This window comes from Homo sapiens, chromosome 10, assembly GCF_000001405.40.
Source record: "Homo sapiens chromosome 10, GRCh38.p14 Primary Assembly".
Taxonomy (NCBI): Eukaryota; Metazoa; Chordata; class Mammalia; order Primates; family Hominidae; genus Homo; species Homo sapiens.
The window spans coordinates 119,290,042-119,316,649 of NC_000010.11; the positions used below are offsets into that span (position 1 = coordinate 119,290,042).

General features: G+C 51.5%; 1 protein-coding gene across 1 annotated transcript in view, besides 12 other annotated features; it reads left to right on the forward strand.

Annotated features, from left to right (window-relative positions):
• GRK5 (G protein-coupled receptor kinase 5) overlaps positions 1-26,608 on the forward strand; it is a 252,175-nt gene that overhangs the window by 82,471 nt on the left and 143,096 nt on the right. The window lies entirely within an intron of this gene.
• Positions 16,026-16,105: an enhancer, noted in NCBI's record as "active region_4111". NCBI's record gives its function as "activates an Ori minimal core promoter by ATAC-STARR-seq in GM12878 lymphoblastoid cells {active_cell/tissue: GM12878}" and the evidence as "EXISTENCE:reporter gene assay evidence [ECO:0000049][PMID:35858748]".
• Positions 16,516-16,615: an enhancer, noted in NCBI's record as "active region_4112". NCBI's record gives its function as "activates an Ori minimal core promoter by ATAC-STARR-seq in GM12878 lymphoblastoid cells {active_cell/tissue: GM12878}" and the evidence as "EXISTENCE:reporter gene assay evidence [ECO:0000049][PMID:35858748]".
• Positions 23,675-23,984: an enhancer, noted in NCBI's record as "active region_4113". NCBI's record gives its function as "activates an Ori minimal core promoter by ATAC-STARR-seq in GM12878 lymphoblastoid cells {active_cell/tissue: GM12878}" and the evidence as "EXISTENCE:reporter gene assay evidence [ECO:0000049][PMID:35858748]".
• Positions 23,995-24,174: an enhancer, noted in NCBI's record as "active region_4114". NCBI's record gives its function as "activates an Ori minimal core promoter by ATAC-STARR-seq in GM12878 lymphoblastoid cells {active_cell/tissue: GM12878}" and the evidence as "EXISTENCE:reporter gene assay evidence [ECO:0000049][PMID:35858748]".
• Positions 24,702-25,901: an enhancer, noted in NCBI's record as "BRD4-independent group 4 enhancer chr10:121074255-121075454 (GRCh37/hg19 assembly coordinates)". NCBI's record gives its function as "activates an origin of replication core promoter dependent on BRD2, P300/CBP, MED14 and CDK7 cofactors, and independent of BRD4, by STARR-seq in HCT116 cells {active_cell/tissue: HCT116}" and the evidence as "EXISTENCE:reporter gene assay evidence [ECO:0000049][PMID:35650434]".
• Positions 24,702-26,029: a biological region, named in NCBI's record as "BRD4-independent group 4 enhancer GRCh37_chr10:121074255-121075454".
• Positions 24,960-25,009: an enhancer, noted in NCBI's record as "active region_4115". NCBI's record gives its function as "activates an Ori minimal core promoter by ATAC-STARR-seq in GM12878 lymphoblastoid cells {active_cell/tissue: GM12878}" and the evidence as "EXISTENCE:reporter gene assay evidence [ECO:0000049][PMID:35858748]".
• Positions 25,076-25,370: an enhancer, noted in NCBI's record as "tiled region #9266; HepG2 Activating non-DNase unmatched - State 6:EnhF, and K562 Activating DNase unmatched - State 8:EnhW". NCBI's record gives its function as "activates a minimal TATA promoter and a strong SV40 promoter by Sharpr-MPRA in HepG2 and K562 cells {active_cell/tissue: HepG2 | K562}" and the evidence as "EXISTENCE:reporter gene assay evidence [ECO:0000049][PMID:27701403]".
• Positions 25,140-25,189: an enhancer, noted in NCBI's record as "active region_4116". NCBI's record gives its function as "activates an Ori minimal core promoter by ATAC-STARR-seq in GM12878 lymphoblastoid cells {active_cell/tissue: GM12878}" and the evidence as "EXISTENCE:reporter gene assay evidence [ECO:0000049][PMID:35858748]".
• Positions 25,394-26,027: an enhancer, noted in NCBI's record as "H3K27ac-H3K4me1 hESC enhancer chr10:121074947-121075580 (GRCh37/hg19 assembly coordinates)". NCBI's record gives its function as "activates a minimal SCP1, AML or CMV promoter by ChIP-STARR-seq in primed H9 embryonic stem cells {active_cell/tissue: H9 hESC(primed)}" and the evidence as "EXISTENCE:reporter gene assay evidence [ECO:0000049][PMID:30033119]".
• Positions 25,677-25,846: an enhancer, noted in NCBI's record as "experimental_10046 CRE fragment used in MPRA reporter constructs". NCBI's record gives its function as "activates a minimal promoter by MPRAs in K562 erythroleukemia cells, with activity observed for both the introgressed and non-introgressed 10:121075315 variant alleles {active_cell/tissue: K562}" and the evidence as "EXISTENCE:reporter gene assay evidence [ECO:0000049][PMID:34662402]".
• Positions 25,890-26,029: an enhancer, noted in NCBI's record as "active region_4117". NCBI's record gives its function as "activates an Ori minimal core promoter by ATAC-STARR-seq in GM12878 lymphoblastoid cells {active_cell/tissue: GM12878}" and the evidence as "EXISTENCE:reporter gene assay evidence [ECO:0000049][PMID:35858748]".

Here is a 26,608-nt window from a genome sequence, read left to right on the forward strand (position 1 = left end):
CTCCTGGAAGACTATCTGTTCCCGGCTGGGCGTGATGGCTCAAGCCTGTAATCCCAGCACTTTGGGAGGCCAAGGCGGGTGGATTGCCTGAGCTCAGGAGTTCGAGACTACCCTGGGTAACATGGTGAAACCCTGTCTCTACTAAAAATACAAAAATTAGCCAGGCATGTTGGCGGGTGCCTGTAGTCCCGGTGACTCGAGAGGCTGAGGCAGGAGAATCGCTTGAACCTGAGAGGCGGAGGTTACAATGAGCTGAGATCATGCCGCTGCATTCCAGCCTGAGTGACAGAGCGAGATTCCGTCTCAAAAAAAAAAAAAAAAACAAAAAACAACTCTGTCCCCTTCTCCCTGTGGCCGTCACCTCTAACCTCTACGGCTGTTATTCTGGTTCAGTCTCATTTCTTCTCTCGGACTTTTGCAATAGCCCCTAAAATGCTGTCCTCCTGGTTTTGCTGACATCGTGACGATTTTAAAGCTGCATCTGACCATTTCCTTTTCACAAAGTGGTTCTCACTTCTGCCTCTAGAAGGCAGGCACTGTCTTCCCTTCCCAGGTACCCCGCAATCCAGCCATTCCCAAGGACTCACACAGCCCTTGGAAACCTTTCTGCTTAGAATGTTGTCCTGTCCTCTTCTGCTTGGTGGCTACCTACTTGTCCTTCCGAGTCCCTCTGAGACATCCCACCTCCGGGGAGCCTTCTAGATTCCTTGGGCTGGGTTTCCCCTTCTGTGTGTGTGTAGCCTTCTGCTCACATCGGTCCTGCAACAGCCCTGTGTTGAGACATAATCATCTCTTCCTTGTTTGTCTCATCTTCTGGGCTGGGCTCCTCTAAGGAGGGGCTGCTTTCCATCCTTGTGTTCCTGGCAGCAAAGCCACTGCCTGTCCAAGTCAGAGACAGGAGCATGATTATTCAGTGAATGAGCCCAGGATGGAGTGAGGAGGATTGTGGGAGAACAGGAGGGTCAGACAGATTGTTCTGTAGTGGTGGCTTTGCAGAGGGGCAAGACTTCTGCAAGTCAGTCCTTGAGGGATGAGCGGACATTAGATTGGTAGGTGAATTTGGGATGGGGGATGTGCTAGAGGCCCCAGAGCCAGCCGCAGGGTATGGGGTGATCTGGCTGGTTGTACATTTTTCTCCATGATCTTCATGTTTCGTGTAGACTGATCCCTTCTACTTTCTGAAAGCTGCCATTGGAGGTGAAGCAGGGCTCCTTTGGATTTGCGGTATCACCAATTCGGCAGGAGATGCAGTGAAGCTACACCCAGCTAGACCCATTTAGCTACACCCAGGGTTGGGCGTTCAGCCTGGCATCCTTGGAAAAACAGGTCTGGGTGCAGGCTCCCTGTGGCCACTGGCAGGATCCTTTGTTCAGTCTGGAGCTGGGTGTGATGGTGTGACCACGGCTGCCTCGGGCGCTGGTGGGTGCAGAGCTGCTTCCTGGAGCCAGGAAGGAACTGCTGCTGCTGCCTCCTCCTCCTCCTCTTCCTCCTCCTCCTCTTCCTCCTCCTCCTCTTCCTCCTCCTCCTCTTCCTCCTCCTCCTCTTCCTCCTCCTCCTCCTCTTCCTCCTCCTCTTCTTCCTCCTCTTCCTCCTTCTCTTCTTCCTCCTCCTCTTCCTCCTCATCCTCCTCCTTCTCTTCTTCCTCCTCATCCTCTTCCTGATCCTCCTCCTTATCCTCATCCTCCTCCTTCTTCTCTTCTTCCTCTTCATCCTCTTCCTCATCCTCCTCCTTATCCTCATCCTCCTCCTTCTTCTCTTCCTCCTCATCCTGCTCCTTATCCTCATTCTCCTCTTTATCCTCATTCTCTTCCTTCTTCTCCTTTTCCTCCTCATCCTCCTCCTCCTTCTGCTCATCTTCTTCCTCCTCCTCCTCTTCTTCTTCCTCCTTCTTTTCCTCCTCTTTTTCCTCCTTCTCCTCCTCTTCCTCCTTCTCCTCCTCTTCCTCCTTCTTCTCCTCCTCTTCCTCCTTCTCCTCCTCTTCCTCCTTCTTCTCCTCCTCTTCCTCCTTCTCCTCCTCCTCTTCCTCCTTCTCCTCCTCTTCCTCCTCCTTCTCCTCTTCCTCCTTCTCCTCTTCCTCCCTCTCCTCATCTTCCTCCTTCTCCTCCTCTTCCTCCTCCTCTTCCTCCTCCTCCTCTTCCTCCTCCTCCTCTTCCTCCTTCTCCTATTCCTCCTCCTCCTCTTCCTCCTTCTCCTCCTATTCCTCCTTCCCCTCCTCTTCCTCTTCCTCCTCCTTCTCCTCCTCTTCCTCTTTCTCCTCCTCTTCCTCCTTCTCCTCCTATTCCTCCTTCTCCTCCTCATCCTCCTTTCTTCCTCTTCCTTCACAAACACATGGTGCCTCGGCTTCACAGGGATAGCCCCCATGTTCATCTGCTCATTGCTTCTGGGTTGCTGCCTTGGGCAGGTGGCTATTTTGGGGTCTTTCAGATAATTTAAAAAAACCCAATACCCTAAACCTCCCCAAACCTAATTCTCACCCTCAGGGCCTAAGTACATTTGAAATTGCACACAAACTTAAGGTTGCTGTGTGCTAGATGGGATGCGGTGAGGGACAAGGCTCTCCAATCATAGTTTTTCCTAGGTGTCTGTGAGGGATTGGTTCCAGGACCTCCTGAGGATACCAAAATCTGCAGATGCACAAGTCCCTGACAGAAAATGGTGTCATATTTGCATATAACCTATACACAGCCTCTGGTATATTTTAACTCATCTCTAGATATAATGTAAATGCTATGTAAATAGTTGCTATACTGTATTGTTTAGGGAATAATGGCAACAGAAAAAGTCCATACATATTCAGTACAGATACAGTTTTTTTTTTTTTCTGAATGTTTTCAATCCATGGTTGATTAAATCCACAAATGCAGAGCCCGTGGATATGGGAGGCCAACTGCGTGTTGACTTTATGTTTTACAAAGCACCCTCTAATCATTGAATACTGGGAAACTTCAAGCTCTGGGCCAGGCACTGCACTCAGCATTTGGTGGCTTCATCTCCTGTCATATTCTGGAGCCGTATGAACAAGAATTTTCCCATCTTATAAATAAAAGAGCGAAGACCTGAAGAAGTTATGTATAAGCTGTTGTTTAAGGTTATGCAGCCAGGAAGTGGCTTACTCTCTTTGAATCTTACCCCATTCTTGTGAAACAGGTGGAGGACATATTTTTATCTCCCATTTAACAGACAAGAGACTTGAGGTGGCTGGATGCCGTGGCTCACACCTGTGATTCCAGCACTTTGGGAGGCTGAGGTGGGTGGATCACTTGAGGTCAGGAGTTTGAGACCAGTGGGTGCTTTTCTCTGGCGACGCCCAGTCTGTTTCATTAGCTAACAGATGCTAAGCTCTACCATGGGATAGTTGTAAAACCTTGAATGCAAAGCTTGAATACAATTGAGGAGCAGAGATGGGGTATACAGCAAGCACTCTGTGTATTAAGTGATTGTTGTTCCTCGTCTGTCTTTTGACCTCCCAGTGCACAGCCATGGGTCTGTCACTCTGGTGACCTTTGGCCGTGGGCATTGGGAGGATAGTTTATGTTGACTGCGGATTGCCAGGTACCAAGTATCAGGCAAATTGGCTTCTTTGTACATTCCTCCTTCCGGATAGACCTTGGGCCTCCTCGTCACTGCCCAGGAGATTTGCTGGGAATCTAGGAGGGAGTGGATGATGGCCTGGATGCCTGGGTGGTGCTGCCTCTGCCCCGAGGCAGCAGTCAGTGCCAGGGTGGGGCTGGGTGGGTGCTGCCATCGCCTCGGGGTGGTACCCGAGTCTGGAGTAGGAACAATACTCTATTGTTACGTTAAACCTGAAATAGACGCCTTCAGATGGAGGGGGTGAGTATGAATCTATTACGATCTAATAATGACAAGAGCACTCTGTGTCTTTTCAGATGCTTGACAATCACCTGCTAATCCCGGGGGTCTGGGAGCTGAGCATTTTCAACCTCCACCCCCACCTCTGCTTTGTGGAGTTGGGGAAAAACAGAGACCCAGGAGCTGTGAAATGAGGGAGGCTCAGCTTCTCCACTTACTTTCATGGTGTGAGGAGACGCATGTGTATTTGCCTCTGACCCCTCCTGCAGGGAGGAAAGCGTACCTGGATCTGGGTGAGAGGCATGTGTGGTGATGAGAACATTTCACAGACCCAAGTTCAAATCTCTGCTCTGCCACTCGAGCATATTTCAGAACCTGTCCTAGTCTCAATTTCTTGGTAAGGTGAGACTATAACCACTTTTAATGGGTCCACAAGGCCTGATCCAACCCAGCAGGTGCTCTTGCGGGTGAGGACCACATCTCGGTTGGTTAGACGTGTCCCCCCAGCCCTCTGCCAGGACCTAGGAGTTGGGGTGAGGGGCTGGGTTGCAGGGAAATGTTGAATCCCAAAAGCAGATTTCCCAGGCAGGCACTGTCCTGACCCAACCTGCCGCCAGCCACCTGTCAAGCTGGACCTCTGGGCTTTTCTCTCCAAATGCTCTTGTTCTCAGGAAAGGGCCAAGACTCACCCCAGGCACAAGATAAGTAGGAATCAGGTGTGAGCCAGTGGTCAGGAGATTTGGGTCTAGACTCTGTGTGGCCAGGGTCATTGCTCAGGTTCGCAGGGCTAAGGAGGAGGGAGGCAGGGGGAGACATATAATTTCTAGAACTTCTGAGGTTCTAGGACAGGGGCCAGCAAACTGTGACCCTTAGGCCAGTTCTATTTTTACAAATAAAGTTCTTTAGTTCTTTTGGAACAGAGCCATGCCTATTTTTTACATATTGCCTATGGCTGTTTTGCTCTCCAATGGCAGAACAGGGTAGTCTTGACAGAGACCATGTGGTCTGCAAAGACAAAGCCTCTTTATAGAAAAAGTCTGGGCAGGGCATGGTGGCTGGCTGGGTGCAGTGGCTCAGGCCTGTAATCCCAGCACTTTGGGAGGCTGAGGTGGGTGGATCATGAGGTCAGGAGATCGAGACCATCCTGGCTAACATGGTGAAACTCTGTCTCTACTAAAAATACAAAAAATTAGCCGGGCGTGGTGGCATGCACCTGTAGTCCCAGCTACTCAGGAGGCTGAGGCAGGAGAATCGCTTGAACCTGGGAGGCGGAGGTTGCAGTGAGCCGAGATCGCACCACCGCACTCCAGCCTGGGCGACAGAGCGAGACTCAGTCTCAAAAAAAAAAAAAAAAAAAAAAAAGTCAACCAGTCCCTCCATCAGATCACAGGCATCTTAAGGGCAGAGAACATATCCTGTTTGTGGGGCCCTAGACTCAACACTGGTCAGGACACAGTTGGCGCTCAATAGATATTAGCTGAATAAATAAGTGGAAAACCCATCAGGCATTGCTGGTGGGAATGTAAACTAGTACAGCCACTATGGAAAACCATGTGGAGGTCCATTAAAGAAGTAAAAGTAGAACTACCATTTGATCCAGCAATCCCACTCCTGGGTATCTACCCAGAGGAAAATAAGTCATTATATGGAAAAGATAGTTGCACACGCATATTTATAGCAGCAAAATCATGGAACCATCCCAAATGCCTGTCAATCAATGAGTAGATAAAGAAACTGAGATATATATATATATGATGGAATACTACTCAGCCATAAAAAGGCATGAATTAATGGCATTTGCAGCGACCTGGATGAGATTGGAGACTATTACTCTAAGTGAAGTAACTCAGGAATGGAAAACCAAACATCGTATGTTCTCACTGATATGTGGGAGCTGAGATATGAGGACACGAAGGCATAAGAATGATACGATGGACTTCAGGGACTTGTGGGGAAGGGTGGGGGGTGGTGGGGCATAAAATAGTAAGGTGCAGCGTATACTGCTTGGGTGATGGGTGCGCCAGAATCTCACAAATCACCACTAAAGAACTTACTCATACCACCTGTACCCCAATAACTTATGGGAAAAATATTTTAAAAATAATAATAAAAAAAGAAAACCCATCAGGATGATTTGGGCTTCAAGAAATAAGGCTTGATTACAAATGGTTTAAACAATAGCAAATGTTTATCATCCCACATTAGAAGAAGTCTGGAGCTAGGTGGCCCCAGGACGAGCTTGGCAGCTCAGCAGTGCCATCAAGGACCCAGGCTCTTCTTATTTTTCTCCACCAGCATCCTCGACATATTGGCTTGGTTCTCGGGCTTGTCCCTTCATGTCACAAAATGGCTGCGACAGTTCCAGGCGTCACGTCTAGTCCCATTTAGATGCTCAGCTGAAGAAGGTACTTTTGGAAAAGAACCTTTCCTAAAGCTCCCCAGCAGACACCCTCCATCAGTTCTACTAGCCAGAACCAGATCACATAGCAAATGCCCTAACTGCAAGGTAGGCTGGACAAGTGAATATTTGGCTTTTTCTGACTCTGTAGTTGAGGTGGACTCTGTCCACAGGAGTAAAGGGAGAGGAACCACTGGCTGGTGAACAGGCACTGTTCAATGTCTGCCACAAAGTTCTGCTGCAGATGGAAGAAGAGATGTTTAGTTGTGGCTGGGGAGGGCAGGCAGGGGTGGCAGAAAAGGTTTCTTGGAGGAGGTCCTGGAACAACTGGTCAAAGTGAAGGCTGCTGTGGAGGACGTCATGGTGCATCATTAATTCTGGTTGCTGGTAGGAAATGGTTCCCATGGCTGACAGACTCTGATGAGCGTCTCTCATGGCTTTGGCATATTATGGAGTTTTTCCTCCTAAAATCAGTTTTGCGGCCCTCATAGAACAACCCTTGAGGGGGGTTGTATATATAATCTTTATTTTCTAGACAAGTCAATTAAAGCTGCCAGAAGTGAGGTGACTCGTCCACAAGCAGCACGTTCTGTGGACAGAGCCTAGGACTGACTGAGTCCAAGCGCAGGGCCCCACCCCCAGTGCTCTTGTGCAGAAAGACATACTGGTCACCCTGTGGGCAGCCACCTGACCTGTGAGAACTTGGATTCTGTCCTGGTATCTGGTGGCCACAGCTGAAGCTGGCAGCTCCCCTCACACCAAGATAGGAGCCTTCTGGGAGCTGGCCAGCCAGGAGAGCAGCCTCAGTGAGGAGCTTCCAAAGGGATTTGGTGTCATTAAGGGCTCCCTCCTTCGGGACACTGCATGGAGACTGGAGGAAGGAGTCGGGAGTTGTATGGGCCCAGACCCTGCCATGGGGTTGGTTTGGAAATAGAAGCTACCAGAGAGATCTCATTCTTTCTTGGGTGTAATTTCAAAGTCATGGTGAGAAAATGAAATGTGATGAAGCTGTAGTGTTGGCCTAGAACAGGATCTGGCATTTAGAAAGTTTGGCGAATGTTAGTGCAGTTGTTCCCATTATCACTATCACCATAATTGTCATCACCACCTCTGTTGTATGGGAGCCCTGACAGCCTGCAGATGGGTGAAGAGTCTGGCCTCCCCACTGTACAGAGGTCAGATGTCTCTCCCATCCTCCACCAGGCTGCTCTGGCAAAGGACTTTGCTATGGTTTGAATGTCCCTGCCAATACTCAGTTAAAATGTGATTGCCATTGCGATGATACTATGAAGTAGAACTGGTTAAGAGGTGATTAGGCCATGAGGGCTCTGCCATTATGAATGGATTAATGTTGTCAACTCAGGAGCGGGTTTGTTATGACAAGAATAGGTTGTTATAACAACCTACTCCTGTTTGGCCCCCTCTTGCTCTCTTGCTCTTGCCCCCTCTTGCCCTTCTGCCTTCCACCACAGAGTGATGTAGCGCGAAGGCCCTTGCCAGATGCTGAAGTCATGCTCTTGGACTTCCCAGCCTCCAGAACCATGAAATAAATAAACCTCTGTTGTTTATAAATTACCCAGTCTCAGGTATTCTGTTATAGCAACACAAAACAGACTAAGCAGACTTCTGGGTTGAACTCAATGGAAACTTCTTGTTCTAACCTTATGATCTCTGAGCAGCATTTGAAATTGACTCACTGTCTTTGCTTGAAATTCATTTATTGCTGGGGCTCAGGACCCTACCCTCACTGGGACCTCACTTTGTCTTTCTAGCTATGTTTCTTCCTGAAATATTGACAGCCCTGGACTCAGGCCTCAGCATTCTGGGGGAAGTGCCTCTACTCAGAGTTAACATTTATTGAGCACTTACTGCATGCATGTGCTATGCTCAGCACTGTACATATCTTGTTTAATCCTCATGATGCAGCTCTCTGAGGTCAGTACTATTTGGTCATTTATTCACTCATTCACCAAGATTTTTGGGCTCCTACTATATACAAGGCACAATTCCAAGTGCCTAATAAGGCAGATGTGTTCCTACCTCTGGGGAGCTGACACCTAGTGGGAATTATTCAGGTTAACAGGAAACAGAGTGGAGACCTGAGGCTTCTTACCCAGTCACAGCCCTGGTGGGCAGAGGAGCCAACTCTAGTGCCGTGCTCTTGAATGCTTTGTTTCTGGTCCCACCGATGGCCGTGAATCCCTCACTTCCAGTGCACATATCTCTCTTGATGCCATTGACTCTGCCAGGGTGTTCTCGGCATCTCAAACTTAGCATTTTCGATAGGTTTTATTGCTAGTGTTGTTTTTGTTCTCTCTGAATGTGCTCTGCCTTTTCACCCTGCATCCACAAATGGCCTGGGAGCCTGTCTCAACACCCCCTCCCTTAATCTCCAAATCCTGTTATCAAGAGTGGTCAGATCAGCTTCTTCAGTGCACCCCCAGGACCCCATTCTTACTCTTCCTGCCATGGTTCCAGCCCCGCACTTCCTGGACACCCTTCGTTCTTTTCATGCTCTGGCATGTTCAGCTTTGCTTTCTCTTCACTGAGCCTTTGCACATGCTGTTCCCTCTGCCAGGAATTCCATTTACCCCCCAGCCACATCCCCCACTCCTGGCCAACTTCAGCCTTTGCTCAAACACTGCCTGCCACAGGGCCTCCCTGACTCTCCCTGCAGACTTTCCCCATGCTCCCTGCGGTGTGCACATTCAACCCTCCTTGAGTCACACCTTTTATTAAAGTAAAGGCTGGCACATCCACTTCCCACCACCCTGGGAGACGGGGACCAGGCCCTGTCTCCTCTTTCATCTTCAGTGCCAAGAATAGCAGGTATTCATTGACCAGCAGAATGAATAAATGAATATTGGAGTAGGTTTCTGACAGAGGCCTAGGAGGCTTGAAATTATCTTTCGGCCAGGCGCAGTGGCTCACCTCTGTAATCCAAGCACTTTGGGAGGCCAAGGCGGGTGGATCACCTGAGGTCAGGAGTTTGAGACCAGCCTGGCCAACATGGCAAAACCCCGTCTCTACTAAAAATGCAAAAAATTAGCCGGGCGGGGTGGCGGGCACCTGTAATTCCAGGCTGAGGCAGGAAAATCGCTTAAACCTGGGAGGCAGAGGTTGCAGTGAGCCGAGATCACGCCACTGCACTCCAGCCTGGGTGATGGAGCAAGACTCCAGCTCAAAAAAAAAAAAAAAGTTATCTTTCATACCAGGAGAGACAGTAAAATCCTGGGTTTCCTTTGTGGAGCCTTAAGTTCATCTAACTCAGTAGTTTCCAAACTTGCTTAAATGTCTTAGAAACCTGTTGTGCCTCACTTTAGTGGTTCTGGGATGGGGGAGTTGTCCCTAGGGAATCCTGCAGGGTCCTGTTGAAAGAGTTTGAGAACTGCAGCTGTAGTGCAAGGCCTCATTTTCTGCAAGAAGGAAGTGCAGAGAAGGAATGGGTTGAAGGTGCCCTTGACCATATAGTGACTGAGCCTGGAGTAGCGTGCTGGGCTCTTGGCTCCCCCTGCAGTGTGTCACAGACTCTTCATTTAAGCAGATGTGTGTGTGTGTGTGTGTGTGTGTGTGTTTAATACACTTTAAGTTCTAGGGTACATGTGCACAACCTGCAGGTTTGTTACATATGTATACATGTGCCATGTTGGTGTGCTGCATCCGTTAACTCGTCATTTACATTAGGTATATCTCCTAATGCTAGCCCTCCCCCTTCCCCACCCCACGACAGGCCCCGGTGTGTGATGTTCCCTAAGCAGATGTTCTTAAGGGGAAGCAGCCTTTTCTTCCTGGTGTACTCAGCTTCCCTGGCATCAAGCATTCCCTGCAAAAGGCTTGGTGGGGATTTTTCTTTAAACTTAAAATGTTGTTCTCCCTAAAGAAAAATGCGCTGCTGAGTGGAAAAATCTGCATGTCTCATGACCCTGGGTGCCGCTGTGCCACAGGTTTTTATGAGTTGGCAAATATGTTTTTAAAATGGAGAGGTGTGCAGGAAGTGAGCCAGCAAGGAAGGAGAATATAAGTCGTCTTTTTTGCAGGATGCAAAATTGGGTTTATTTGCAGACTGATGTGTTACCTTCTAAAGGACTAGCCACAACGTTTGACCCTCAATCTAAGGTCAACACTGCTATCCATTGCTCACAGACCAGAGTGCATCTCCCATGAGGCAAAAGAGCAGGTGTGAGAAGTGGGTAAGCAGTCTGTATATTGGGGGTGTGGTGGATGGCATAGGGGATAACTCAGTCTAATGAAAGACATCAATGTGCCATTGGGAAAGGACAGAGGTTGCCCCCTCTTTCCCCCAGATAGTCGCCCAGCTTATAAATGCATAGATCTGGGACAGAGAATAAGGTTCACCTAGGTTCCCCCTAATCACAGGCGGAACTAGGACTTTGGGAGATGATCTCACCTGCCTTTCATTTCCAAGAGATCAGTAGCACTTGTATTTTAAGAGGTGAGTCCTTCTATGAATATCTTGACCTTGAGGTTTACAAAGGACTTCCAGACCATGGGGTTTGCTTTTTATCAAGTCGTACTGTTTACATAAAGAAGTGCAGAACCTGGCTGGGCACAATGGCTCATGCCTGTAATCCCAGCACTTTGGGAGGCCGAAGGTGGATCACTTGAGGTCAGGAGTTTGAGACCAGCCTGGCCAACATGGTAAAACCCCGTATCAACTAAAATGCAAAAAAAACAAAAAACAAAAAAAGCTAGGCATGATGGCGGGCGCCTGTAATCCCGGCTACTTGGAAGGCTGAGTCAGGAGAATCGCTTGAACCCAGGAGGCAGAGGTTGCAGTGAGCCGAGATCGTGCCACTGCACTCCAACCTGAGCAATAGAGGGAGACTCAGTCCCAAAAGAAAAAAAAAAAAGTGCAGAACCCATAGACATACTGCTGGATGGTTTTTCATAAAGTGATGAAGTGCATACCCTGTGGAACCCTAGTCAAGAAGCACGTCATCTACACCCCAGGACCCTCCGGGAGCCCCTTCCAGGCCCCATCTACCTTGTGGTGGTTCTAACGCCATGGGTTAGTCTTGCCTGCCTCTGAACTCTGGGTGAAAGGAGCCACGCAGCCTTGGCCCTTTTGAGGCTGGCTCCTTTCACTCACCATTGTCTTTGAGATTTGGGCCTGTGGCTGTGTGCAGTTGTGTTTGGTTCATTCTCGCTGCTGAGTCCTATTCCCCTGTCTCCACACATAGTGGGTGTTCACAGCAGCCCCACGAAGTACACAGGGTGTGGACTGTTCCTCCTGTTTTATAAGAAAGGAAGCCCAGGCTTGGTGTTACCCACAGCACAGAGGTGGCTCTAGAGCACGCCCCATCCGATGGCTGCTGAGGAAGTGACTTGATCTTTCTAGGAGCGTCTTGTCCTCTGCCCAAGAAGTTGCCAGCAGCTTTCTCTTTAGTCTTCCAGAAGCCCCTGGCTCTCCTTTTGAGTCACTTTGACCACGCCTCCTTACCAGTCAAACCGTGGGTTTTCTGAATTCCTGGAAGTGCTCTTTTAGCTGCTTTTCTGATCCCTGAACAGCAAACACTTATCGTGGGTAGCATTTTCCTCTGCCAGGCCAATGGCAGACATTACTAACTAATTGTGGGACTCCTGTTCATTGAGCCTGGACCCTGTCTTGAGTTCCAGGATTCCCGGCAGCCACTGCCATCTTTTTGGAGCTCATTCACTTAATGAAATCTTTCTGCTTTTGTAGTGCCAGGTGGTACAAGCAGAGTTGCACTTTCTGCTGAGGAGACTTGATTTCTTATGAAAATACCAAGCAATGAAGGAACGCTGCATTTCTAAAGCATTCGTTGGCTTCCTGGACTTTTTCCCTTGCAGGTGGGGTGGCAGGGAGTGGGTGATGGGGCAGTGGCTATTCTGGACACAGAAATCCACATTCCTTTAAGGTGTCATTTACTGCTTCCAGAATCCCACTTTCAAGGAGACTTGAAGCTAGTAAAATGAATAACTGGGCTTCTTCCCAGCCTGTGGAGGCCTCACAGTGGTAGCTTGTTAGCAGAGTCCTCAGAATATATCCAGGATAAAAATGTGACTTTGTGCAAGTCCCCAGCTTGAAACAGGGTTACATCCTGCTTCCTGGGTGATGCTACCTGGCAGAGGAGCCCAAGGGCAGGGGGCAGGCTCCTCGTATCTGGGTGTGGTGCCCTGAGCTCCTTGCCCTGCTGTTTATTTCCAGAGCAGAACCTTGGGGCTCACTGGAGCAGTGACCACCTCTAATCACAAGAGCTGGTTGTACTTTTTCTTCGCAGGCTGCATAGGGTGGAGGATGGGGCTGGGGCCTCTGGAGAGTGGCGATTCCTCCCTCAGCCCCACATTTCTACCTGCTCCCCAGGGCACCTTGTTATTACAGTTCAACTGGCTGGGGTTTGTCAGGCCTCAAGCCAGCCTACCTGGTGGTTTCAAACCAGACTTAATCAAAATGTAAATACTTCTTGGGGCCAGAAAGCAGGACTGTCCAGGTGTTTGATCAGAGGCTGCAGAGCCTGGGAACCACAGGAGAGGGTGGGGGCCTGGCAGGCTCCTTCCACACAGAGGCCTGGGGTTCCCTGGGGCCTCTCTGTCAGGGGCTTCTGGAGCAGCTTCTGTCCCCACGTGACCAACATCACCCTCTGCCCTACTGCTGTATATGCACGCTGTCACTGGGGCAAAGGTAGTGCTGGTGATGCTGGTGACAGCACCTGCTCCCCTTCTCCATCCCTGAAGGAAGACAGCTTAGAGGTTGATGGATCGAATATCTTGCATTTTAGAGAGGCGGGACCTCAAGGCTCAGAGAGGGTCTGTGACCCTCGTGAGGTTGCACAGTGGGCAGGAGCGCAGAGAGGTGCACTCGTGGAGGGTGAGCCATGTGTCCGGTATTGTTCTAGGATCAGCAGTGACCAGGGCATATGCAGAGTCTGCCCCGGGGGCAGGATGGTGAATTGAGAGTAAAACGCTAGTTGGACGAGATCATGTTATATCTGTAAACAGACGATCTATACATGTGTAAACTAATAACGTCTGATAGTGATGAGTACTCTGTAGTGGATGAGGTGTAGCAGGATTAGATAAGAGAATGAGATAGATTCAGTGGAGGTGGAGGTGTTACCTTAGATGGGGCCTGGGGAGCCTCCAAGTGTGGGTGTGTGGAGGTCATATTAGTTGAGACCTAGTTGTCAGAAAAGGGATGGTCAGGCAGGGGCACAGCCAGCAGGGCGAAGGCTGTGCGATGAGCATGAGCCGCAAGGGTCTCCATGGGCCGGGAGGAGCTCAGAGTGTCTGGAGTGGAGTGTGGGCCTGGGGCATAGTGGTTGTGGGGGAGTCACGGGAGGCATTTGGACTTGATTCTAAACCTGTTGGGAAGTCATTAGAGGATTTCAAATGAGAGAATTCCATGAGTTGCTTTGGGTTTGCATAACTCTGGCTGCTGGGTGGAGATAGTTTGAAAGGGGCAAGAACGGAGGTGGGAGGGGAGGAGGCTGGTCCAGGTGAGGATGCTGGCCTGGTCCAGTGGCAGCCCTGGGGCCATAGGGAGGGGGACAGGTATGGATTTCACTGCAGAGCCCAGACTTGGGGATGGATCCAGTGTGGCATGGAAGGTGGGGGAGGGAAAGTGAAGGACCCCAGCCGTCCCTTGGGTTTGGGGCTCAACTAGGGCTCCTTTGATCACTCATCTCCCACTGCATGGTGTCCCTACAGCCAGACTCAGGGTCCTTGCCTACCCTAAAGCGCCAGGGTGGTGCTGGCCCTGCGTCTTCAGGATCATCTGGGGAGGGCTGACTCACCTGCCTTTCTGGATCCAGAAGGCGGAGGGTGTGGTGTTACCTGGTGCTGGGGATGTTGGAAAACTCAGAACCTGGGCTTTATCTTGACTGTGTTTAATGACTCAGCACAAATCTAGAGACATGACCAAGAGGCAGCTTTGAGCAGCCCTGGCTGAAGGACCAGAGCAGTGGGATGATGTGGCCTGTGGAGGAAGGAAACCTCCACCTGGAACCTTGAGGGGAAAGCAGGGCAACAGCAGTATGCTAACTGTGTGAGCTGCTTTTTTTTTTTTTTTTTTTTTTTTTGACAGGGTCTTGCTCTGTTGCCCAGGCTGGAGTGCAGTGGCATGATCTCAGCTCACTGCAACCTCCGCCTCCTAGGGTTCAAGCAATTCTCCCTGCCTCAGCCTCCTGAGTAGCTGGGATTACAGGCGTGTGCCATCGCGCCTGGCTAATTTGCTGCTGTCTGTTGAGTGCTCACTGCACATGGGCTTCTGTGCATTTCCCCGTCATTCCTCACAACCCTAGGCGGCAACATTGACATTCTTCTTCCCATTTTGTGGATGCAGAAACTGAGGCTCAAAGAGCTTTTGGCCTAAGGTCATCCACCTAGCGAGCAGCTGAGCTCACCCACAGGCCCCTGAGTCCCGATTTAGGGAGTCTATAACCAGCACCCAACACTGTCGCCAGTGCACCACGCTGCCTGCTCACCAGCCATCCACCAAGGGCTGGCTCTGTGCCTGTCTCTGTCTAGGGGTAGGGCATGAGAACCGACCCCATGCAGTCCCCACCCAGAGATGCTTGCCCTGTGCACGCAGATGCGGACCAGCAGGGCATTTGCAGAAAGGCAGTTGTTCGCTTAATGAGAGGTGTTTGGGCAACTCCCTCCTTCTGTCCCTCCCTCCCTTGCTCTTTTCTTCCTCCTTTTCTTCCCTTCCTTCTTCCCTACCTGTTTTTCTTTCATCTCTCCCTTCCCTCTCTCCTCTCCCACCCCCTCCCTTCTCTTCTTTCCATCTCTCCCTGCAGTTTTTCTTTTGCTGACACCTGTTTCTGAAAAATCTTGGGTGTCTGGCTGTGGGGAGCTGCAGGAAAGCCCAGATGAGGTCTCCTGAGCTTCACCTTGTGGTTGGCAGCGAGGACTTGACCTAGAGCCTCTGACCTTCCACCTCCCTGGGCTCTGAGCTCCAGAGTCCCGTGGTCCTCCAAGGCTGTGGGAACCCGTGGTCCCCTCCCTTGCCTTTCCTCTCTTCGCTGACAGAACAAGGGGCCGGCAGAGGACATGTCAGGTGTGTCTCAGAGACCTGGGGGAAGATGGGCTCAACATGACCTGCTTCTGGGGTGACACCTCTGCTCACTCACTTATTCAAGCATTCACTCGTTCACAGACATGTCAGAGGTCTGCTGTGTGCCAGGCACATGTCCTAGGCACTGATGAGCAAAATGGACGTGGTCTCTGTCCTCTTGGGTGGAAGCCCCATAAAGGCATAAGTGAAAATTTGCTGACAAATTTTGATAGCTGCTTTTTCAAAGCCAGACACTGACTGAGGAGTGGTGGGAGAGAGCTGTGTGGGTATGACTTGGATTGATTGATTGGGGATGATCAGGGAAGGACAAGACCCTAAGACCTGAGGACTTGGCCGGGTGAAGTAGGGGCAGCAATAAAGTGCCACTCCCCGGGAGACACGTGTAAGTGCCCAGAGCAACGTCATTTGAGAGGTAAAAACCTGGAAGACCTAACCTACGTGTCTCTCAACAGGAGAGTGGATGGAGGAATTATTTTGACAAAACCTGTGGGTATGCAGGTTTAAAGAAATTTTGTTCCCATTCTGTAAGCTTGAAATGTTTCATTGCAAAAAAGTGATTCTGGAAATGTGTATCTAGCAGAGGAAATGACATATGCAAAGGCCCTGAGGCAGAAAATAACTCCCAGTGAGGAAGCAGGTGACGGCCTGACCACTGTACTTCCGGTATCTCTGCTCTCAGCCACCCCTGAGACCATGGAAAGGCTCCGTGTTGAGCCCTTGGAAGGCCTCCCTGGGAGTCCTGGGTGTCAGCTGGAGGACTGTGTGATGGTGAGGGAGTTGAACCACTGGGGCAGTGCCCGCCTGGGCTGGATTTGGGGGAGGGGGGAGCCTTTTGGATGAGTCAGTCCTCTCTGGTTGGAAACAGCAGAGTCTAGTTGAGGCTCTGCCAAGGACCCGTGGTGATTCTTGTCGCCTTTTGTGGAGAAATTTGCCCGCTAACAGGCCATCTGTGTGAGGTGAGTCACTGTTTCCCCCGTTTTGTTGATTGCAGACACCTCTGTGTGAGTCTGTTCAGCCTGAACTGCACACACCGATAAACTTCAGTGCCTGGATGAGCAAGCTTCCTGTGTGCTTCAGCTTGGGGCGCATGTGCGCTTCTTCTAGGATTTTCTGAAACTTGGTCAGGGGCTCCTGGATCATGATTGCAGATTGAGAGCCACTGAGCCATTCCAGGTCCTGTTTTCTGATGTGAAATGGAAGCCCAGAGTGGGGATGTGTCCAAACCCACACTGAGATCACACAGCGAGGGAAGGAAGCCGGGGTCCTGGCTGACACTTGCGGGGCAGAGCACCTTCTCTTGGCCCCGAATATGGATTTTGGTGTCCCTAGTCAAGATTTGTTCTGCTGACTTCTCCTGGGGAAAGAGGTGTCACGTCTGCCTGAGCCCCTGAGCCTGGTGGGTGGGGTGTGAGGATCTGGCCGGGGCCGCTGCACCTGCAGGTGTTTCCTGCAGACATTCTGCTGGGGAGCACTTCCCCTCTTCTCCCTCCAGGTGACTCACTGGGTGCAGTGTCCTCTAGCGTCTACTGGGTGCAGGGCACTGGGGAGACATGGGGGATGCTTCTTTGGGCTCGTCTGTACTAGGTATGGTTATAGGGTACTGGGGGTTGCCTAAAAAAATGCTGTGTGACCTTGATGGCTCACTTTTTCTCCCTGGGCCTCTGTGTCTCCAGCCGTCAGTGAGGAGCAGGCGTGGGTGATCAGCAAGGTTCCTCTCAGCTCTGATGTCATTCATTCTGAGTTAGGTGGAGAGTAGGGGATAATTGCAGCCCTTATTCACTGAACTTTCTTAACTATGCTAAATGCTTTACGTGCATCAGCTCATTGATGCCTATATCTATGTGGTTACAGAGGAGCCAGTTGAAGCACAGAGAGGTTGAGTAAATTTCCTGGAGTCACACAGCTAGTAAATTACATACCTGGGTTTAAACCCAGGCAGTCTGGCCCTGGAGCATGCAGTCTTAATCACTGCATGATTAAGGCTGAATCATGGTCCCCTAAAGATGTCGTATCCGAATCCCTGCAACTTGTGAATATGTTACCTACCTGATAAAAGGGCCTTTTCAGATGTGATTAAGTTAAGGCTGTTGAGATGGAGAGGTTATCCAGGGATATCAGGTGGGCCTGATTAGAGGGAGAGTGGACTGTGCCTGTGAAAAGGAGTTCAGAGTGATGCAGCTTGAGAAAGACCTGACCAGCGACTGCTGGTTTTGAAGGTGGAGGAAGGGCCATGAATTGAGCCAAGGAATAGAGGTGGCCTGTAGATTCTCCCCTGGAGTCTCCAGAAGGCACACTGCCCTGCCGACACCTGGATTTAGCCCGGTGAATCTGATTCCAGACTTCTGACTTCTAGAACTGTAGGATAATACATTTGTGTCTATAGCACTCCATTTGTGCCGTTAATAACTTGTTACTGAAGCAAGAGGAAACTCATGCAGCCATGCTCTACTCTGGTCTCCTGGTGGCGAGCCCTCCTTTCTGCATACACACTGGATTTTGAATTCTGAGGGGTAACAACCTCATCTTGCCAACAGAGCCCTCCTTGGCCATTTCACAATTCAAGAAGCATTTTCTAGGAAGCCTTTTAAAGCCCCACTGCCTTGCCCCAGCTTGCTCTGTTGTGTCACAGGAATGAGGTGGGGAGAGGACAGAGGGAAAGGGTCATGGGGAACCTGGGGCCCCAGCCTATACCCTGCCTCTATGAGGCTCCATCTGAGCACCCACCTCTCCAGGCATCGTCCTTGGTCCCCTGGGAGTGGGCACCCATGGCGGGTCTGCACTGTATGCCCAGTGCGCCTTTGTAGGCCGAACCTGCAGGGTCAGAGCTGGGTCTAAGGCTGCTCCCCAGGTCCTTGCAGGAACATAAGTGCCCGGGTTTATCTTTGGGCACTAGAGCTGTGCCCACAGCAGCTCCTGTTCAGATCTGGATCAGGGTCAGGCCCCCATCACTGATTGCGCACCCCAGGCACGCCTCACCCTGCCCCGGCCTCAGCTTCCTGATCTACAAAATGGGTGTCATGCTGCAGCCCTGCCGAAATTGTGTGCTCATGGTAGAAGTGACTGGGAAGAACTCTGCGTGTGGCAAGGGCTCTCGCTGCTGCTTCGGTACAGTCATCTGTAGGGTCATCTGTGACGTATGGGCCAGGCGTGTGCCCCCTCAGAATCCTCTCTGGGTCCCCTGACTCCTCCCCAGGAGCAGCCCACTCCATGGAGCTTCCCTTGGCCCCAAGTGCTTGAAGGGAAAGGTGAACACAGTCGGGATGACAAAGTTAGGAGGCGTGTGTTTTTCTTCCCGGTGACGTTGGGCCGGTCAGCCCGCGTCTTCGTAGCTTCAATGGCTTCTCCTGTGCCACGCGGTGGGGGAGCTTTCTTACGCCTCGTTCTGAGGATTAGAGACAATGGCTGCACAGGCACTGTGGCTGCCATGCTCAGGCCTGCCCTCGCTCCTGACCCCCAGGCCAGCTGCTTCCTGGTTCCAGGGGGCCAGGAGGAGGATCTTAGTGTTAGCCTGAGATCCTGGGCAGGTCCAGTTCTGAGGCAGGGGAGCCCTGTATGGATTTGGGGGAATGCTGGCAGGATGGCCTGCCGGCCCTTTTCTCCCCACTTCCCAGACGGAGCTGAAGGGAAAGGACTCTTCCCTGAGGGAGGCAGATCTTCCCAGGGCCTGTCTGGGAGCTCCCTCCAGTGAGGAGGCTGGTGCTGAGGCTGGGAGGGCTGGTGCCCAGGGCCCGGGCTCTTGAGCCTAGATGGAAACTGGGGCCACCTTCGGAGTTCTTGCCACATCCCTGCAGGGCTGGTGCGTGAGGGACCGTGTGGTCTCTAAGAAGAGAGGGTTCAGCCCAAGGGTCACCTCCTTCAGGAAGCCTTCCCTGATTCCACAGGCAGGGTTGATTGTGCCTCCCCTGTGCCCCCTCAGCCCCTCTTCCTCTAGTATTGTCACCTGGCATGGGTCAGTGCCGCCCACGAGCCTGTGAGCTCTTGTAGGGCAGGGGCCACGTGCCAAGCACCAAGTAGGTCCTCGATATGAGTCTGCACAGTGGATGGAAGAACTCTGGGGGAGGCAGAGCCGAGCTCAGTAAGGCCTTGGTGGGAGGGAAGCATGCTGGGAATGCAGGGTCCAATGGGAGTGTTGAGGGAGGTTGAATCAAGGACAAGGAAGGGTCCTTTCAACCCCCAGGTCCTGTGACCCTATGTGAGATCAAGAGTCAGGGCAGAGTAATGGCGACAGCTCACATTTACTGAGTGCTAACCACAATCTCACTTTGGCCCTAGCAGCCTTCTTAAGAGGGTGGTGTTTCCCCATTTTACGCTTGAACAATCTGAAGCTCAGAGAGGGTAAGCAGCTTGCCCAGGGTCACAGAGCTATGGACAGAGACCAGATGTGAACCCTCATCTCTGTGTTGGAATCCTCTCTACAGGTGCCTCTGTGCTGTGCTGGTTTTTGCTTCTGTGGCTTCAGACTTTGGGGGAACGTTCTTAGGACCCAGCTCTTGCCTGTCCCTTGAGCCAGCATCATCCTTGTGGACTGGGAGTTAAGAACTAGGCATTCTTAGGCTCAAATCCCAGCTCAGCCTCTCAGCAGCTGTGTGCCCAGACCCCTGTCCTCTCTGGGCTTGTTTCCTCCTCTGCAAAACAAATCTACTTTACTGTAGGGTCATGAGGCCCAGAGACTGTGGAGGTGGAGCATGGAGGCCACAGCCTGGTTCGTCCTAGTGTCTCCGTGGCGCAGGCTTCCCAGACCATGTGTGTACACGGTCATGTCCACATGGTAATTAATGTACCTGAGTGCTGAGCAGGTTTTGATTGGCCAGGATCTCTACAGCATTTGTTTAGCTTCTTTGAAATAGGGGATGCAAAAATTCTGGGGAGAGCGGAAGTAATTAGTACTCACAGGAAAATGCAAATATTTTTATGAGTATCCTATGAAAAATTGTATTTTTCCTGAGCAAGTAGTCCTGTTTATTTCTCCAACAGAATTGCCACAGTTGCAGCAGTGGCTGACCTACGACTGCCAGGAGCATTTCTCAGGTGTCCACTTATCTCCCTTCCCCTGGCTTTCTCTTCCCCTTCAACCCAGAGAAAACATTATGAGGCAAAAGTGACCAAATTTGGGCCTTGCTGAGAGAAGGGGATTACTCTTGTAGTGAAAAGTCCATTTTTGTGGCCAGACTTTTCTCAACTGTGAAAACCAGTGTGGGCAAAAACATCGTGAGCACAAAAATACATTAAAAAATTATTTTGCTTGGAAAGAACTTTTTTTTTCCAGTTCTGCTACTTCTTGGGAAAAGACATTTTTAAGAAGATCAATAGTGTTGCAAGAGGACTAGGGGTCTGCTTTCTCCTAAGAGATGTAGAGGGATAGAGGGAAAAGGAGGGAAGCCCCAGGCAGGGCGGGGTTGGGGAGTTGGGATACAGAGCAAGAGGGCTTAACATGGGATGAGTGCCCACCTCGTGCCTCACACAGTGCGAGGGCTTCAAGCACATTTTCGAATCGACCCTTATAAAGGGCATTTGGTTATTAAGCCAATTGGGAAACTGTGGTTCAGAGAGGTTGGGGAAGTGGCCTGTGGTTATTCAGCTTGTGGACAGAAGAGTCAGCAGCCCAGCCCTCCCCGTCTGATGAGAACCCCTTCTCTTTCCACACTGCCCTAGAAGAAGGGACTCTTGATCCAGGGCTGGGTCAACAGACAGAGTGAGATGGGAAGAGGCACACCCAGGGGAGGGGCTGTGTGTACCTTCCGCCTTGCTGGGAAGGTGGTTGTATTCCCTTTTTCAGAGCAGAAAATGGAGGCTCAGAGATTATGGTGTGCAGTGTGGCTTATTTGTTGTTGTTTCTAAGTCCATTTGGAAATGATCTCTTCCCTTCCGGTCCTGCCTCGCCCATCTGTTTATCCATCCATCCATTCATCAGAGATTGATGGAGCTTTTGCTATGTCCAAGCACTGTTCTAGGTGTCTGAGAGACAGGAGGGAACCAAACAGGGATACCCACTCACATGAAGTCTGCATTCCAACGGGAGATGAGACAGAGCCTGGCAGGAAGCAATGAGCAGAATAACTCAGAAGGCCACGCAGAACGCTTGCTGCAGGGTGATGTGTGCCTGGGAATTAGAAATTAACAGTAAAAGAAAGGCAGAGGGGTCCTGAGATGGGGGCAGTGGGTGGGGGCAGGTTGTAGAATTAAAAAGGGCGAGTAGAGGCCTAGCTTGGTGACTTACACCTGTAATCCCAGCAATTTGGGAGGCCAAGGCAGGTGGATCACTTGAGCTCAGGAGTTTGAGATCAGCCTGGCAACATGGCAAAACCCCATCTCTACTAAAAATACAAAAATTAGCTGGGCGTGGTGGTGCACACCTGTAGTCCCAGCTACTCAGGAGGCTGAGGTGGGAGAATTGCTTGAACCCAGTGAGTGGAGGTTGCAGTGAACTGAGATTGCTCTACCACTGCACTCCAGCCTGGGTGACAGAGCAAGACTGTCTCCAAAAAAAAAAAAGAGTGAGTAGAGGATTTTCCTTCCTAGTGACAGAAATGTTTTAAATGTTTTGGAATTAAACGGAGGTGGTGGAAGCTCAACACTGTGAGTGTACTGAATGCTACTGAATTGTTCATTTTTTTTTTTTTTTTTTTGAGACGGAGTCTCACTCTGTCGCCCAGGCTGGAGTAGAGTGGCGCGATCTCAGCTCCACTGCAAGCTCCACCTCCCGGGTTCACGCCATTCTCCTGCCTCAGCCTCCTGAGTAGCTGGGACTACATCCACCCGCTGCTAATTTTTGTTTTTGTATTTTTAGTAGAGATGGGGTTTCACCGTGTTAGCCAGGATGGTCTCGATCTCCTGACCTCGTGTGGTGATCCGCCCGCCTCGGCCTCCCAAAGTGCTGGGATTACAGGCGTGAGCCTCTGCAGCCAGCCTAAATTATTCACTTTAAAATGGTTAATATTCAGTGAATTTCATTTCAATAAATGATTATTTTTTAATGGCGATCAGGGTCAGCCTCATGGAGAACGTGAGAGCTGTGCAAAAGCTGCAAGGAGGCCAAACCTGTTAACCCAAGGCTGTTTTCTCCCAAGGAGCAGGAGGAGGGTTCCAGGCAGAGGGAGCAGCTGGAGCAGCCAGAGCAGCGAGAATGAGACCAGCTGCACCTCGAGAGCCCAATCCGGCCACTGCCTGTTTTTGTAAATGAAGTTTTATGGGAATACAGCCATGCTCATTTGTCTACATACTGTCTCTGTGACCCAGAGACCCTATCTGGCCCTTTGCAGAAAAAATCCTCAGGCAGGAACATGCCTGGGGTGTTTGAGGAGAAGAGTGTGGCTGGAATGGAGTGAGTAGAGGTGAGAGTGGGAGGAGGTGAAGTCAGGGAGGCAGTAGGGGCCGAATCATGGTGCCCCTGTGAGACTTCCTGCTTCCTGTGGCACCCCTGGCAATGTCGGGACAGACGCTGGCATCATGCTGATGTGGAAGCTCTGGGAGTATGTGTGTGTATGTAGGGCATAGTAGGGTAGAGACATAGCTGAACTTAGAGTCAGATGTCAGAGGACCTAGTCTTGAGACCTGCTGTTTGTCCCTTGCCAGCTCTGTGTCCTCAGTTCTCTCACCCACAGAGCCTGATAGTAGTGGTGATGGTGGTAGTGATGGTGGTAATGGTGGTGCTGGTGGCTGTGGTGATGGTGATGCTGATGGTGGTGGTAATGGTGGTCGTGACGGTGATGGTAGTGGTAATGGCAGTGGTGATGGTGGTGGTGGTAATGATGATGGTGGTGGTGATGGTGGTGGTGGTGGTGATGGTGGTGATGGTAATGATGGTAGTGGTGATGGTGATGATGGTAATGATGGTAGTGGTGATGGTGGTGGTAATGGTAGTGGTGGTGGTGATGGTGATGATGATGGTGGTGGTAATGGTAGTGGTGGTGGTGACGGTAGTGATGATGGTGGTGGTAATGGTGGTGGTGATGGTGGTGGTAATAGTGGTGATGGGGATGGTGGTAATGGTGGTGGTGATGATGGTGGTGGCAATGGCAGTGGTGGTGGTGATGGGGAGGGTGGTGGTGATGATGGTGGTAATGAGTGGTGGTGGCAATGGCTACATTTAGTGGCACCTATGAGGTGCTAGGTATTTTGCATATGGTGCTAATCCTTAACAGAGCAATGCCAGGTGGGTAGCAGTGTCTCAGTTTGCAGGAGAAAACACGGAGGGACTTAACCAAGGCCACACAGGTGGTATGTAGCAAGGCTTAGATAGCAGTGCAGTGACACCCGCTTACATTGCAGTGAAGATGTCATGAGGCAGTGGACGGTTGTGTCCTGGTGAACAGTGCAGCTGTCAGGGAGGGGAGGTAGCCTTTGTGGGGGAGGTGGCCTGGTGTCAGCACCACCCTCCCTGGAAGGGTTTCCTGGGAGGGACTGTCCCCAGCCTCTCCACCTCCCCTGGGTCACACCAGAGTGCTCCTCTCTCTCAGGCCCCATGTGCTGGGAGGGGCCCTGTCCCCATCCCCATGGCGACCAGTTACCCAGCCTGGTGTTGGTTTTGGTTTTCCTCATTTGAGGTTGTGGGATCCCTCTGGTTGAGGCTGAGGTTTTTCTGCTTTGGAAACCCCAACTGTGTTGTGGCCGTGAGGAGGGGCCTGGAGGTGCTGGCACCTGCCCACAGACCGCAGGCCCCAGATGCCCCGGGCCGCCCCACGCGCCTCACACCATCCAGCCAAGACATTTCAGACACTCATAGCTGAGAACTGTGGCACAGGGAACTTTCTGGGGTCAGGAGAACTGTGTCTTTGCTCCCCAGTTCCGCTCCTGTAGAGGACAGAGCCACTGGGAGGGCTGGGGTGTATGATGCCCCGGTTCGCATCTACCCCGTGGCTTTTGCCCCCACTTTGGGTGGAATCCTTGAGCATAGCAAGCCCCTGACTGAGCGGCAGGCGGCCAGCAGGCCCAGAAAGGGTTCCAGCCCCTCTCGCCGCCTCCTGGCCTGACAGTTCTGGCAGCTGCTCCCTGGCCTGGCTGTGCCCACATCAGAGTGTCAGCCCTTTGAATGGAACCTGGGGCTGGATCCTGCACAACTCGGCCCATTCCTTAGGTCTCTGAAGTGGTTCTCCTCATGTGAAAAGAGCCAGTCCCCACCAAGTGGTGAAGCTGGTGGTGCCAGCCGCGGAATGCACCCTTGGACAGGGAGAGGCTCTGTGCCCCCCAGACCACCCCACTTCCCTCTCTTGCCTGCCACCTGGGGTCCTATGCTCAGCTAGGAAAGTGCGGGATACACTCAAAGGCAGCAGGACCATGGCGCCTAAAAGCTCCTGATGCTTCCTGCCCCAGGGAACAGTGGACCCATGCCATCCAGAGGCACTGCACAAGCCCCATCTCGAGAGATTCTGGGTCACAGGTATTTTGGCAGCCCTTCATGTTTTCTTCTAAACCTCTCAATCTGGGGATAGTTACTGGGAGCAGTCTCCTCCTGACGCCACTAGACCTTGACCTCGCAGCTCCAGCACTCTGGGGCAGCGTAGTAATGGAGGAACCGAGGGCAGGATGAGGACTGAGGCTGGATTCCCCATGATTCTGGAGATTGTGCAGAAAGGCTGTGTAGAGAAGGTGCACCGAGTCAGGGACCCAGGCAGGGGCTGGCTGTTCTCAGAAGGTGAGAGCCATAGAGACAGAACGAGACCCTTGGCCTGTATCTGCCCCACTCCATCCCTTCCCTGCCTTGCCCACTCAGTGGGCTCCCCATCGTCTGTCTCACTTATGGGGATCTTCAAGAAAACTCTTGACAGAAGCGGCTCTGCGCCCTGTCCTGGTGTAACCCTCCTGGATCTCAGGTGAAGAAACTGAGGCCAGAGGGGTGGTGCTTTCTCCTACCCCCGCCCCATACCAGGGGCCTGTCTCCCTTTCACAGTGGTTGCCAAGTGCATCGGGTTGGAGAAAGTACCCTACAGGCTGAGGTCACCTCAATACACTTGGCTGGAGTCATGTTGCTTCTGAAAAGGCTTGAGTCACTCGGTGACGCAGCCCCTGATCAGGCCTGTAATTGGGATCTCGCCTTGTTCGGGCCTGGATGAAAAGAGACTTAGAATCAGTGAGAAGCCACATGCCCACCTCATCAGTTTCAGCTGGAGGTGCCTCTCTGGGGGTGGCAAAGGTGGCAGAGCCCTGGTGGATGGAAAATAAGCATCAGTGGAGGGGAGGGAGGAACAGGAGGCAGTAGACACAGGGGTAACCCATTCTCATCAGAACAGCTGGCCGCCTCCACTTTGCCCAGGCCAGATCTGACTCTGAGAACACCCACAGCCTCCCCACGGTGATATTTTCTGGAAATCCAGCCCTGCTGGCAGCACAGTGGGAGCTGAGTCCTGAAAGCCCACCTGGGTAGAAAAGAACTGGATGGAGTCTTTAGTCCTGCAGACATCACAGGCAGAATTGTGACACTGCCTTCCACTCTGCAGATGAGTCATCGGCCTTTTGTGGCTGGGAACGCGGTAGAGTGATCCTTCCACATGCAGTCACTGCGACACCTGAGACCCTCCCAGACTGATTCAGTTGCGTTGAGAGCAGCTTCTCCGGTTTTCAGGGCTTTCCTTCCTCCCCCTCCAAATTCATAGTCGAAAGACCCCGCTTCATGACATAGTTTGGGTTTCTAACAAATGTGGTCCCCTGCATTAGCATAATGCTGACTTTTCTGAACCACAAGCCAGTTTCTGCTGGGAAGTCCTGGGGTCTCTGTAACCTGTGCCCCTCGCTACCCCATGTCCTTGTGCCTTTAACCAGCAGTGCCCCCAGACTATTCTGGAAATGGGGGTGATAGTTTCTGTGGCCCCATTCCTGCTACGTCTGGTTGTGCCTGGCCCCAACCCAGGGGCTTCTGCTCTGAGCTGAGAGCTGGGCTGGCCATGCCATGTCACCCTGCCCTCTCCATACAAGGACCAGACCCACTGAATTGTTTCAAACTCTAGAGTCACCTGTGACATGTGGCCTGGAGAGAAAAGATGAGTTGGCCAATCAGATTTGCTCCTTGAGCCTTTGGAATCAGGATTCTGGGAGATGGGTAGTGAGCTGGGCTGAAGGGTGCTGAAGGTTCCTGAAGACATAGCAGCCTCAACAGCTGCAACACAGTTCTAACTACCCAGGATTAGTGCAGACATCACAAATGAAGAGCACAGTCTTCACAAGACCACCCTCACTCCAGGCACCTGCCACAAGGGTGGGGGTCCCCAGGCCACTGGCACTTCTGACCACGGCAACAGATTCAGGGATTCCCCTGAAGCTCTCAGGTTGGATAATTCGCTAGACTCCCTCGCAGAACCCAGTGCAGCGCTACACTGACAATTACAGTTCTATTGTTGCAAAAAGATACC